The sequence below is a fragment of the Homo sapiens genome, chromosome 1 (assembly GCF_000001405.40).
Source record: "Homo sapiens chromosome 1, GRCh38.p14 Primary Assembly".
Classification (NCBI taxonomy): Eukaryota; Metazoa; Chordata; class Mammalia; order Primates; family Hominidae; genus Homo; species Homo sapiens.
Genome location: NC_000001.11, coordinates 28,469,764 through 28,484,548, shown reverse-complemented (window position 1 = coordinate 28,484,548; position 14,785 = coordinate 28,469,764). Strand labels below are relative to the sequence as shown.

The following is a 14,785-nucleotide window of genomic DNA, read 5'->3' as shown; positions in this document are numbered from 1 at the left end:
CATATATATACACATACACACATATATACACATACACACATATATATACACATACACACATATATATACACATACACACATATATTAAATATATTAAATATAACTATATTTATGCCCTGTCTAGTATATAGACTACTGGGCTTAAGTAGTTCTGCTGCCACAGCCTCCCACGTAGCTAGGACTACAGGGGCATGCTACCATGCCTGGCTATTTTATTTATTATTTTTTGAGATGGAGTCTTACTCTGTCGTCCAGACTGGAGTGCCATGGTGTGATCTCAGCTCACTGAAACCTCTGCCTCCTGGGTTCAAGTGATTCTCTTGCCTCAGTGTCCTGAGTAGCTGGGATTACAGGTGGGCGCCACCACGCCTGGCTAATTTTTGTATTTTTAGTAGATGGGGTTTCACCATGTTGGCCAGGCTGGTCTGGAACTCCTGATCTCATGTGATCCACCTGCCTCGGCCTTCAAACGTGCTGGGATTACAGGTGTGAGCCACTGTGCCTGACCTATTTTTATTTTTGTAGTGATAGAGTCTTACTATGTTACCCAGGCTGGTCTCAAACTCCTGGCCTCAAGCAATTCTTCCACACTGGCCTCCCAAAGTACGGAGATTATAGGCATGAGCCACTGCACCCTATCCTAAAATATTTACTATTTGGTTCTTTACAGAAGAAGTTTGCCAAATCCTGGCTTATAGGGTATAGGATTATGGCTGATTTATCTCTCTCTTTTTTTTTTTTTTTTTTTTTGAGACGGAGTCTTGCTCTGTCACCCAGGCTGGAGTGCAGTGGCACGATGTCAGCTCACTGCAAGCTCCACCTCCCAGGTTCATGCCATTCTCCTGCCTCAGCCTCCCGAGTAGCTGGGCTACAGGCCCAGCACCACACCCAGCTAATTTTTTTGTATTTTTAGTAGAGACGGGGTTTCATCGTGTTAGCCAGGATGGCCTTGATCTCCTGACCTCATGATCCACCCGCCTCGGCCTCCCAAAGTGCTGAGATTACAGGCGTGAGCCACCGCGTCCGGCCATGATTTATCTCTTTTTTTTGTAATTTTTCAAACTACCATATAATAAACATGTCTTTCTTTACTTTTTTTTGAGACAAGGTTTTGCTCTGATGACTGGGCTGGAGTGCAGTGGGGCATGAGCACAGCTCACTGCAGTCTTGACCTCCTGGGCCTTGATCGCCTGGGTCTTGACCTCCTGGGCCGACCTTGAGCCCCTCCTGGGCTCAAGCAATCCCCCTGCCTCAGCCTCTTGAGTAGCTGGGACCATAAACGTGTGTCACCATGTCTGGCTAAGTTTTTTGTTTTTTTGTCGAGACAGGGTCTTGTCATGTTGCCTCGAACTCCTGGGCTCAAGTGATCCGCCCACCTCAGCCTCCCAAAGTGCTGGGATTACAGGAGTGAGCCACCGTGCCCAGCCTTCTCCCTTAATTTCAAAGTAGTCAGACCACAGAGGTCATACAGGCTGATAATTATGTTTAAGTAAAGAAATTGCAGAGAACAATTTCTGGATCCAAAAAGTGTCTATTAGAAGACAAAGGGAAAACTTGCCCTGAGGTACAGCATACACAGTAAAGCCAGGTGTCTCTTTTTTTTTTTTTTTGAGACAGGGTTTTGCTCTGTCACCCAGGGTGGAGTGCAGTGGTGCAATTACAGCATACTGCGGCCTTGATCTCTCAGGCTCAAGTGATCCTTCTACCTAAGCTTCCAGAATAGCTGGACTAGAGGTATGTGCCACCATGCCCAGCTAATTTTTTAATTTTTTGTACAGATGGGATCTCACTTTGTTGCCCGGGTTGCTCTGAAACTCCTGGGCTCAAGTGAGCCTCCCACCTCAAGTGAGCCTCCCAAAATGTTGGGATTATAGGTGTGAGCCACCTTGCCCAGCCAAAACCAGGTATCTGCAATAGTACAGAAAAAGAAATTTTAATTAGTAGACATGATCAATTAATTATTTTGTAGGGAACTGTGCCACGAGTTCCAGCTCCTTATCCTCTCTTTACTGGGAGAAACATCTGTGTCAAACAAAAACCCATCTATACAACCTGGATTCTTACACTGTTACATATGCAGAAAGCTGGCTTGCATTCAGTTTCTCTATACTTTTGGTTCCAGTTGACTTGAAAAATATACCAACACTTTGAAAGGAGGCAGTTACACGGAACATATGAAACAGATATAATGCAAATATGGGTGTGACTGTTAATTGGGTTGGCATCTTATGGTTAAGCAACCAGATAAAAAAAGTGACAGAGGAGCCTTTCTGTTCTGGGAACCATTCTGATTTATGTAGAAACTTTTGCAAAACCATATGTCTATCTCATGGTTTAAAGCTCTCACAGGCTGGCCAGGTGTGGTGGCTCACACCTGTAATCCCAGCACTTTGTGAGTCGAAGGCGGGCAGATCACCTGAGTCAGGAGATCGAGACCAGCCTGGCCAACATGGTGAAACCCCATCTTTACTAAAAATACAAAAATTAGCCAGGTGTGGTGGTATGAGCTTGTAGTCCCAGCTACTCAGGAGGCTGAGGCAGGAGAAGCACTTGAACCCGGGAGGCAGAGGTTGCAGTAAGCCGAGATTGCACCATTGCACTCCAGCCTGGGTGACAGAGCGAGGCTCCATCTCAAAAATAAAATAAATAAAATAAAACTCTCACAGGCAGCTACATCTTCAATTTCCAAATTCTTAGAGGATACCCAACTGTGTCCAATATATATTTTTTTGTTTCTTTTCTTTTCTTTTTTTTTTTTTTAGATGGAGTCTCACTCTGTTGCCCAGGCTGCAGTACAGTGGCGCGATCTCAGCTCACTGCAGCCTCTGCCTCTTGGGTTCAAGCAATTCTCCGATCTCAGCCTCCCGAGTAGCTGGGACTATAGGCGCATGCCACCATGCCTGGCTAATTTTTGTATTTTTAGTAGAGATGGGGTTTCATCATATTGGTCAGGCTGGTCTTGAACTCCTGACCTCAGATGATCTGCCTACCTCAGCCTCCCGAAGTTCTAGGATTACAGGCATGAGCCACTGCACCCAGCCTCTTTTCTTTTCTTTTTCTTTTTTTGTAAAGATAGTTAGATGCCACGTAGTAGGTGGCAATGCCTTGTATGTGTGTTGTCAGGCCCAAAGGGCCTCTTCCATCCTTGTCAAGTGGAGTGCTAACCTTCTCTCCTTTCATGCAAAACCCAATATGTATTTTTTAAAATTATACTCAAAGTGATGGGTGTGGTGGCTTACACCTATAATCCCAGGACTTTCGGAGGGCAACGTGGGAGGAATGTTTGAGGCCATGAGTTTGAGACCAGCCTGGGAAACACAGAGAGACCCTGTCTCTACAAAAAATTACAAAAATTAGCAGTGCATGGTGGCGCATGCCTGAGGACCCAGCTAGTCAAGAGGCTGAGGTGGGAGGGTGCCTTGAACCCAAGAGTTGGAGGTGGTGAGCCATGATTGAACCACTGCACTCCAGCCTGGGTGACAGATCAAGACTCTGTCTGAAAAGAAAAAAAAATCACACTAAAAAAGATAAATGAATACTCCACAACAAAGTAAACATATAGACTAGGTATAGGGGCTCATGCCTGTAATCCCAGCACTTGTGGAGGCCAAGGTGGGTGATCACTTGAGGCCAGCAGTTCGAGACCAGCCCGGCCAACATGGCGAAACGCTGTCTTTGCTAAGAATACAAAAATTAGCCTGGCGTGGTGGCAGGTGCCTATAACGCCAGCTACTCAGGAGACTGATGCAGGAGAATTGCTCGAACCTGGGAGGTGGAGGTTACAGTGAGCCGAGATCGCGCCACTACTCCAGCCTGGGTGACAGAGCAAGACCCTGTCTCAGAAAACGAAACAAAACACACACAAAAAAACAACACATCTAACAACATCTAACACAAATACTGGCATAACCAAATCAATCAAGCAAATCTAAGCAAAGGCCTACCGGATCAGTGTGTTTCCAATCTGGTGCCGTATTTCATTCCACTCCTCCTTGCTTTTACAAGGCCAAGAATTCAGGTTCAACTCTGGTTCACTGGGTCTGTGGTTCAACTTCATTGCCAGTGTGTCTTTCCTCTTCACTTTGTTGGCGAGAGCACCTTTGCACACGGGGAAGAAAAAAATGTAGAACTTGAGGCTTAAAGCCAAAGGTTCAACCTTACCTGGAGCTAGTCAAGAGTCTGAACAAATACAATATTTAATTCCCAGTTCCCACCTGGCCTCAAATGATCCAGCTGAACACTGAGGTGGGGGTAAAGCTAAAGACACCTAAAAATCTTTTTAGCCAGGTGGACTAAGATGGTTAAAAGGTATCTTTTCTCTTCTATCAGGCCTCTACATTTTTCCTCCTTGGTAAGAGTTGCTACAGGAGAGAGAATCTAAGCATGGGACAGCCCTCTGAATTAAAACATAAAGGCTTTCATACTAACACCTCATAGTCTATCTGTTTTTAAAGCTGCCTTTCTACTTCAATTAATCAGGACTCAATTATTTGCAAAGATGTGAGGGTATGAAAATGTTTATTTTTCTCTGCCCTGTGGCAATAAGTTCATTAGACCAAAGGGAAAACATCACTTTTATCTTTTCACCTTAGCCCATGTGCCACCTTTCCTCTACTCCATATTGTTGTTGGTTTTTTTGTTTGTTTGTTTGTTTGAGACAGAGCTTTTGCTCTTGTTGCCCAGGCTGGAGTGCAGTGTCACGATTTCAGCTCATTGCAACCTCCGCCTCCCAGGTTCAAGTGATTCTCCTGCCTTAGCCTCCTGAGTAGCTGAGATTATAGGCGTGGGTCACCACGCCCAGCTAATTTTTTGTATTTTTAGTAGACACCGGGTTTCGGGTTTCGTTATGTTGGCCAGGCTGGTTTGAACTCCTGACCTCAGGTGATCCACCCACCTCGGCCTCCCAAAGTGCAGGGATTATAGGCGTGAGCCACCACGCCTGGCCTCTTTTTTTTTTTTTTTTTCTGAGGCGGAGTCTTGCTCTGTTGCCCAGGTTGCAGTGCAGTGGCAAGATCTCGGCTCACTGCAACCTCCGCCTCCCAGGCTCAAGCAATTCTCCTGCCTCAGCCTCCTGAGTAGCTGGGGTTACAGGTGCCTGTCACCATGCCTGGCTTTTTTTTTTTTTTTTTGCGACAGAGTCTCGCTCTGTGACCCCGGCTGGAGTGTAGTGGCACAGTCTTGGCTCACTGCGACTTCCGTCTCCTGGGTTCAAGCAATTCTCCTGCCTCAGCCTCCTGAGTAGCTGGGATTACAGGCGCCTGCTACCATGCTCAGCCAATTTTTTATTTTTAGTAGAGATGGGGTTTCACCACATTGGCCAGGCTGATCTCGAACTCCTGACCTCAGGTGATCCGCCTGCCTCGGCCTCCCAAAGTGTTGGGATTATAGGTGTGAGCCACCGTGGCCAGCCATGCCTGGCTAATTTTTTCTATCTTTAGAAGAGATGGGGTTTCACCATGTTGGCCAGGCTGGTCTCAAGCTCCTGACCTCACCGGCCTCGGCCTCCCAAAGTGCTGGGATTAGAGGCACTTAGGTGAATAGTTTTAAAATTGGGGGCAAACAAAAACCTGAAATTAGTACAGCCATTGTGGAAAACACTATGGAGGTTCCTTAAAAAACTGAAAATAGGCCAAATGAGGTGGCTCATGCTTGTAATGCAGCACATTGGGAGGCCAAGGCAGGAGGATTGCTTGAGGCTGGGAGTTTCAGATCAGTCTGAGCAACACAGCAAGACTGTGTCTCTACTTAAAAAACAAAACAAAACAAACAAAACACCCTTAAAAATAGAACTACCGGGCCAGTCACGGTGGCTCATGCCTGTAATCCCAGCACTTTGGGAGGCCAAGGCAGGTGGATCATGAGGTCAAGAGATCAAGACCATCCCAGCCAATATGGTGAAACCCTGTCTCCACTAAAAAAACAAAAACAAAAACAAAAACAAAAACTAAAATGAGCTGGGCATGGTGATACACACCTGTAATCCCAGCTACTTGGGAGGCTGAGGCAGGAGAATCGCTTGAACCTGGGAGGCGGAGGTTACAGTGAGCTGAGATCGTGCCTCTGCACTCCTGCCTGGTGACAGAGTGAGCCTCCGTCTATTAAAAAAAAAATAGAACTACCATACGATCCAGCAATCCCACTGTTGGGTACATATCCAAAAGAAAGGAAATCAGCAAATCAATCAGTCATGCTTATTGCAGTACTATTTATAATCCCCAAGATATGGAATCAGACTAAATGTCCATCAATAAATGAAGGGATAAAGAAAACGTGGTGTATATACACAATTGAAGATTATTCTGCCATGAAAAAGAAAGAAATCCTGTTATGTGCAACAAAATGGATGGAACTGGAGGACAATTACGTTAAGTGAAATAAGCCAGGCACAGAAAGATAAATGTTGTATGTTCTCACTCTTACGTGGGAGCTAAAAAAGTTGATCTCATGGAGGTAATAAATAAAATGGTGGTTACCAGAGGCAGGGAAGGGTAGAGGGGATGGGGGAGAGAGAGACTGGTTAATGGGTATAAAAACAGAATTAGATAGAAGAAATAAGATCTAGGCCGGGCGTGGTGGCTCATGCCTGTAATCGCAGCACTTTGGGAGCTGAGGTGGGCAGATCACTTTGAGCTCACAAGTTCGAGACCAGCCTGGGCAACATGGTGAAACGCTGTCTCTATAAAAAAATACAAAAATGAGCTGGGCGTGGTGGCTCACACCTGTGTTCTCAGCTACTTGGGAGGCTGAGGTTGGAGCATTGCTTGAGCCAGGAAGTGGAGGTTCCATTGAGCTGAGATTGTGCCACTGCACTCTAGCCTGCAGAGTGAGACACTGTCTCAAAAAAAAAGGAATAAGATCTAGTGTTCGGTGGCACAATAGGGTGACTATAGTTAACAATAATTCATTGTATATTTCAAGATAACCAGAAAGGTAGATTTGGAATAATCCCAATACAAACAAATGATAAGTGCTTGAGATGGATAGCCTAATTACCCATACACACATGCTTATATCAAAATATCTCATGTACCCCATAAATATATATTACTATTATATATCTATAAAAATTAAAAATAGGCTAGGCACGGTGGCTCATGCCTGTAATCCTAGAGCTTTGGGAGGTCAAGGCAGGGGGATCACATGAGGTCAGGAGTTCAATAACAGCCTGGGCAGCTGGGCACAGTGGCTCACACCTATAATCTCAGCACTGTGGGAGGTGGGCGGATCACGAGGTCGAGTTCGAGACCAGCCTGGCCAACACAGTGAAGCGCCGCCTCTACTAAAAATAAAAAAAAATTAGCTGGGCCTAGTGGCAGACGCCTGTAATCCCAGCTACTTGGGAGGCTGAGGCAGGAGAATTGCTTGAACCCGGGAGGTGGAGGTTGCAGTGAGTTGAGATCGTGCCCCTGCACTCCAGTCTGGATGACAGAGCAAGACTCTGTCTAAAAAAAAAAAAAAAATTATATATATATCTTTTATGGCCAGGCACGGTGGCTGACACCTATAATCCCAGCACTTTGGGAGGCCGAGGCAGGCAGATCACCTGAGGTCGGGAGTTTGAGACCAGTCTGACCAACATGGTGAAGCCCCATCTCTACTAAAAATACAAAATTAGCCAGGTGTGGTGGCACATGCCTGTAATCCCAGCTACTTGGGAGGCTGAGACAGGAGAATTGCTTGAACCTGGGAGGTGGAGGTTAAACTGAGCCGAGATCGCACCATTGCACTCCAGCCTGGGCAACAAGAGCAAAACTCCGTCTCAAAAAAAAAAAAAAAGAACAGGCTAGGCAACCTAACGAGACCCTGTCTCTACAAAAACAAAAAACAAAACAAAAAATCAAAGAAACCTAACCAGTTGTGGCACACATCTGTCCTAGCTATTTGGGAGGTTGAGGCGTAAGGATCACTTAAGTCCAGGAGTTGGAGGCTACAGTGAGCGACGATTGCACCACTGTACTCCAGCTGGGTGACAGATCAAAACCTTGTCCAAAAAAAAAAAAAAAAATTAAAACAAAAAAAAACAAAAAACCTAAAACCTGAGTGACTCAATCTACTTGGATCCCTGTCTTGGCTTGTTTTAACAGAGGGGTGATAATAGGGACAAGGAGTCCTTCACAGTGGCTTCCAACATCAGTTAGCCAGATGACTTAATGGGAGAAGGTACCTGTTTCCATATCTCTTTTGACACTTGCTAAGATCAGCAAATAGTTTTATCTGGAAAAGAATTCTCTGTTTTGCTTTTCCCTCCCTTTCTTACTCTGATAGCTTTCATCTTCATCTTCTTCATCTCGGTACTGAATGGGACCTTCTGAATCAGAGTCGCTCTCCTTCTCTTCTTCCTCCCGTAGACACTGTGGTAATTTAGGAATGACTGAGGTAGGTGTCATTTCTTCACTGAATGTGGATGGACAGGTTTGCTCCTCTTCTTCTTCATCGTCTGGACTAACAAATTAACATAATTATATTTTCCTTTTAGAAATGAAGAGGATAACTGACTTTTAAGACAAAGGACTGAAATAAAGACTGGGCGTGGTGGCTCATGGCTGTAATCCCAGCACTTTGGGAGATGGAGGTGGGCAAATTCACCTGAGGTCAGGAGTTTGAGACCAGCCTGGCCAACATGGTGAAACCCTGTGTCTACTAAAAATACAAAAATTAGCCTGGCATGGTGGCAGGTGCCTGTAATCCCAGCTACTTGAGAGGCTGAGGCAGGAGAATCTCTTGAACCCAGGAGGCAGAGGTTGAAGTGAACCGAGATTGTGCCACTACATTCCAGCCTGGGTGACAAGAGTGAGATTCTATCTCAAAAAAAAAAAAAAGACAAAGGACTGAAATAACCATAAATACAAAAAAATCTATGGATGAAGTAACTTATAATTAATTCTCTCCCTTAACTTTAACAATCTTACTAAGAAACTTTTTAGCAGGTATTAATCTAAGGGTTCAGATCCCAGCTTTACCACTTATTAGGCACTGGTGCTTTCCAGAATTTGTCTAATGTCATTCTCACAAGCCTACAGAGTAAATATTATTCCCATTTAGAGATGATATAACTAAAGAGCAGAAGGCTTCAGTAACTTAACACTACTATAAGCTAAGAGTGGTAGTGCTGCAATTTGAACCCAGGGCTATCTCACTCCAAGGTGAATGCTCTTAAGCACAACATTATACAATGCCTTCCCTGTAGTATATAAAACTAGCGGTTGTAATTTTTCATGTACATAATTTTGTAAATTTTGTGTCATCACAAAAATCTCCATGAAAAAAAAAAAATCACAAGAGTAAAAAATCAAAATTTGGCCAGGCGCAGTGGCTCACACCCATGATCCCAGCATTCTGGGAGGTTGAGGCAGGCAGACTGCTTGAGCCCAGGAGTTCAGGGTGAGCCTGGGCAACATGGCAAAATCCCATCTCTAACAAAAAATATAAAAATTAGCTGGGTGTGATGGCATGCGCCTGTAGTCACAGTTACTCGGGAGGCTGAGGAGGGAGAATTGCTTGAGCCCAGGAGATGGAGGTTGCAGTGAGCCAAGACTGCACCACTGACTCCAGCTTGAGTGAGAGAGTGAGAACCTGTCTCAAACATAAATAAATAAATAAATAAATAAAAATAAAGTTTTAAGGTAAGATTAAAAAAAGAAAGAGTCCAAATTCTATAACTTATTCTTTTGGCAGAGTATTCTTTGTACTTTAAATTTATTCACAATGCTGGGCGCGGTGGCTCACACTTGCAATCCCAGCACTTTGTGAGACCGATGCAGGTGGATCACCTGAGGTCAGGAGTTCGAGACCAGCCTGGCCAACATGTTGAAACCCCATCTCCACTAAAAATACAAAAATCAGCCGAATGTGGTGGCACATGCCTGTAGTCTCAGCTACTCGGGAGGCTGAGGCAGGAGAATCGCTTGAACCTGGGCGGCAGAGGTTACAGTGAGCGGAGATCGTGCCACTGCACTCCAGCCCGGGTGACAGAGCAGGACTCCATCTCGGAAAAAAAAAAATTATTCACATTTTCTTTTTTTCTGTGAGACAGAGACTCGCTTTGTCGCCCAGGCTGGAGTACAGTGGCACAGTCTTGGCTCACTGCAACCTCCACCTCCCTGTTAAAGCGATTCTCCTGCCTCAGCCTCCCGAGTAGCTGGGATTACAGGTATGTGCCACCACGCCTGGCCAATTTTTGTTATTTTCATCGAGACAGGGTTTTACTGTATTGGCCAGGCTGGTCTTGAACTCCTGACCTCAGGTGATCGGTCCATTTGCCTCAGCTTCCCAAAGTGCTGGGCTTACAGGTGTGGGCCACTAGGCCCGGCCCACATTTTCTTTTTATAAGTAATTTTTTCCAAGCAGGGCTATCTAGAGTAAAGGAGAAATAAGAGGCAAGCTTTAAAGGCACTTACACTTTTAGCATTTCAATAGTGATGGGAAGAGACCTGGTCCGACCCAGCGTACTGCTGTCCTCAGAAAAGCTGTCACTGTTTTCAAAAAGCAACGAATGAGCTCTGTGAGAACCCTCCAGAATAGGAGTCATGGGAAGTGGGCTGGTGAGGGCCTGCTGGATTCGAATATGCAGTGGGAGTGGAGGCAGCCTAGAGGGTATATGGGGCTCCCCAAAGTTCTGGTCCAGTATCCTCTTGGGGACTTCCTTTTTCTGATCTTCCTGCTGGGGAATCTCCTGGTGTAGATCTAAGGATGGTGGAAACTCAATTTCTGGCACAACTTGAAAAGTCTTAGCAGGGAATGGAGGGGTGCGTGGAGGCTCTGGAGGTATATGAGTAGGCAGTGGGGGGGACGGAGAGCGAGGTGAGATCATTGGTAGTAGTTCCGAGCCCATAGAACACGTGCTCTTCTCTCTTTCATCACTTGGTGTTTTTGTGGTGATGGCAGCAGCAGACTCCAAGGTGGGTACTGAGGTTGATGGAATGCCTCTCTTAGGTGGTAAGGGTGGGGACGGTTTTGATAACAATGTACCACTGTTTATTGCTTGGGACAGTTCAGCTGGAAAAGAGAGAGCAACACATCAATTTCACGACTTTCCAATGCTTTGAAGGGCCGGCCCAGGGCCTAGAATTAAAGTTGAGTTCAGTTTTAATCTTTTAAGCAAGTTAAATAATTTCATAGTTTTGCCATTCCCTATATATTTTATCCTGAAATGAAGTTTATATTTATTCAAATAGAAGGCTTAATAAATGTACAGAGGTGTAGGAAGACTGATGAGTAGCTTACTTCATTGCTATGGCAACAGATATGACAATTTTTTTTTTTTTTTTTTTTTTGAGACAGGGTCTCACTCTCTCGCCCAGACTGGAGTGCAGTGGCGCGATCTTGGCTTACCGCAACCTCTGCCTCCCGGGCTCAAGCGATACTCCTGCCTCAGTCTACCAAGTAGCTGAGATTACAGGCGCACGCCACTACGGCCCGGCTAATTTTTGTATTTTTAGTAGAGGCGGGCTTTCACCATGTTGGCCAGGCTGGTCTCGAACTCCTGACCTCAAATGATCCACCTGCCTTGGCCTCTCAAAGTGTTGGGATTACAGGCGTGAGCCATGGCACCCGGCTGACAACTTTTTGTAACTTGATCTTGGTGTAGTTAATATGAATAGAGACAAAAAAAATCTGATAAAAAGTTATCTTGTGGCTGGCACGGTGGCTCACACCTGTAATCCCAATACTTTGGGAGGCCGAGGTGGGCAGATTACTTAGGTCAGGAGTTCGAGACCAGCCTGGCCAACATGGTGAAACCCCGTCTCTACTAAAAAAAAAAAAAAAAAATTACAAAAATTAGCTAGGTGTGGTGGTGGGCACCTATAATCCCAGCTACTCAGGAGAGGCTGAGGCACGAGAATCTCTTGAACCTGGGAGGCGGAGGCTGCAGTGAGTCAAGGTCATGCCACTGCACTCCAGGCTGGACAGCACAAGACTCTGACTCAAAAAAAAAAAAGTTATTTTGTATAACAGTACTCCATTAAAAAATTTAAACATTCAGATAGCATAAAATAAGTATTAGTGGGTATTGTTACCATATCCTGATAATGGTATCTAGATATCTTAGCTCTGTGTTATAAAACTGTCAATACTGACATCTTGAATTTTTATAGCAATTGCAAAGTCCTTTGAAGAAATCAAAGTGTTTTTTGTCCTTGAAGTCATATTCTCCTTATACCACCTGAGGTGACAGGGGAAAAAATATAGCATCTTTACCATTTTTCAGAAGGAAAAGGCAAGGCCACAGAAGCTAGGTGACTTTGCCCAAGATCATACTACAAACTGGCATGGACTCAGCTGGTATCCAAGTCTCTGACTATTTGACTGCATCCTACTGTCTCTAATTTTTTTTTTTTTTTGAGACGGAGTCTTGTCGCCCAGGCTGGAGTGCAGTGGTGCCATCTCGGCTCACTGCAAGCTCTGCCTCCCGGGTTCACACCATTCGCCTGCCTCAGCCTCCCAAGTAGCTGGGACTACAGGCGCCCACCACCACTCCCGGCTAATTTTTTGTGTATTTTTAGTAAAGACGGGGTTTCATCATGTTAGCCAGGATGGTCTCAATCTCCTGACCTCGTGATCCGCCCGCCTCGGCCTCCCAAAGTGCTGGGATTACAGTCGTGAGCCACCGCGCCCGGCCTACTGTCTCTAATTTTTATTGGTATGCACACCTCTTATGTTCCCTTTGCACCTCAGCTTCCCATGTTCACTCTCCACTATATCATGGGCTCCTTGATGGCAGGGCAACCTTGTCTCCATCAACATATCATCCACAGGGCTGTGCACAGTACCTGGCATCTAGTGGACCCTCAATATATGTTTATTAGATGAGAAGCCTTCACCCTGTATCATGACAGTATATATTCCTATAGTTTCACCAAAGCCCACAATGACTCAGCAAAGGTGTTGGTGTTGTTTCAGCAAAGTCCCTTTGGAGGGCTCCAGATGACCTGTAAGAAGTGGATCATCAGATCACACAGGAGTAAAACTGGTAAAGTAATTAAAGGGTAGTTATTTTTTCCCTGCTGACAGGAAAAAAAAAAAAAAAGTAGTTCTTTTGATCACCAACCTCTAACCTTCTACTCAAACCCTTTAGTTTCATCCCACTCAGTATTCTCAAACACTCTCAAAAACTTCCCTTAAATAAAACTGTATTTGTCCTAAATCTCCAAAATTGGAGATGTTCAAAGTAAAAGGCTAGCTAATTATTTTTTTCTTTTTTGAGATGGAGTTTCACTCGTTGCCCAGGCTGGAGTGCAATGGCGCCATCTCGGCTAACTGCAACCTCCACCTCCTGGGTTCAAGTGATTCTCCTACCTCAGCCTCCTGAGTAGCTGGGATTACAGGCATGTGCCACCACGCCCGGCTAATTTTTTGTATTTTTAGTAGAGATGGGGTTTCTCCATGTTGGTCAGGCTGGTCTTGAACTCCCGACCTCAGGTGATCCACCCGCCTCGGCCTCCCAAAGTGCTGGGATTACAGGCATGTCCGCTTTGCCCGGCCAAGGCTAGCTAATTTTATAATTCTTTTTTTTTTTTTCTTTTGAGACAAGGTCTCCCTCTGTTGCCCAGACTGGAGTGCAGTGGCATGAACAATAGCTCACTGCAGCCTCGATCTCCTGGGTTCAAGTGATCCTCTTGCTACAGCCTCCCAAGTAGCTAGGACTACAGGCCCATGCCCCCATGCCTGACTAATTTTTTTAATTTTTAGTAGAGACAAGGTCTCACTATGCTGCCCAGGCTGGTCTTGAGGTCCTGGGCTCCAGTGATACACCTATCTCAGCCTCCCAAAGTGCTGGGATTATGGATGTGAGCCACCACACCCAGCCTCTTTTCTTTTTAAATTTATTTTTATTTTTAAATTAAATTAATTTATTTTAGACAGGGTCTCACACTGTGTCACTGGAGTGCAGTGGCGCAGTCACGGCTCACTGCAATTTTGACCTCCCTGGGCTCAGGTGATCCTCCCACCTCAGCCTCCCAAGTAGCTGGGACCATAGGCATGTGCCACCATGCCCGGCTAATTTTTGGGGGGGGTATTTTTTGTAGAGATGGGTTTCTCCATGTTGCCTAGGCTGGTCTCAAACTCCTGGGCTCAGGTAATCTACCTGCCTCAGCCTCCCAAAGTGTTGGTACTACAGGTGTGAGCCACTGTACCTAGCCTTTTCTTTTTTTTTAGAGACAGGATGTTGCTCTGTTACCCAGGCTAGAGTGCAGTGGTGCAATCATAACTCACTGCAGCCTTGAACTCCTGTGCTTACCCAATCCTCTTACCTCAATCTCCCAAGTAGCTAGAATTACAGGCACATGTCACCATGCCCAGCTAATTTTTAAATATTTTATAGAGATGGGGTCTTGCTACGTTGCTCAGGCTGGTCTTGAACTCCTGGCCTCAAGTGATCTTCCCACCTCGGCCTCCCCAAATGCTGGGATTATAGGCATTGAGCCACTGTGCCTGGCCTAATTTTGTAATGTTTTAATGTCTCTCATCATAAATAATTTTTTTTTTTTTGAGACAGAGTCTCGCTCTGTTGCCTAGGTTGGAGTACAGTGGTGCAATTTTGGCTCACTGCAACCGCCACTTCCCGGGTTCAAGTGATTCTCTCCTGCCTCAGCCTCCTGAGTAGCTGGGATTATAGGCATGCACCATCATACCCAGATCATTTTTTGTATTTTTAGTAGAGATGGGGTTTCACCATGTTGCCCAGGCTGGTCTCAAACTCTGGGCCTCAAGCGATCTGCCCACCTCGGCCTCCCGAAGTGCTGGGATTACAGGCATGAGCCACCATGCCTGGCCCCATAAATAA

General features: G+C 45.4%; 1 protein-coding gene and 1 pseudogene across 6 annotated transcripts in view; both read right to left on the bottom strand.

The window, feature by feature from the left end:
* PHACTR4 (phosphatase and actin regulator 4) overlaps positions 1 to 14,785 on the bottom strand; it is a 130,625-nt gene that overhangs the window by 15,816 nt on the left and 100,024 nt on the right. For all 6 annotated transcript variants that reach the window (NM_001350159.2, NM_001350160.2, NM_001350161.2 and 3 more), the window contains 3 exons: positions 10,398 to 10,995; positions 8,258 to 8,442; positions 3,945 to 4,098 (listed from right to left, as the gene is read on the bottom strand). In NM_001350159.2, coding sequence (NP_001337088.1) covers positions 3,945 to 4,098; positions 8,258 to 8,442; positions 10,398 to 10,995 — 937 coding nt within the window. The remainder of the gene's footprint in view (positions 1 to 3,944; positions 4,099 to 8,257; positions 8,443 to 10,397; positions 10,996 to 14,785) is intronic.
* Positions 3,069 to 3,187, bottom strand: RNU6ATAC27P (RNA, U6atac small nuclear 27, pseudogene; annotated as a pseudogene).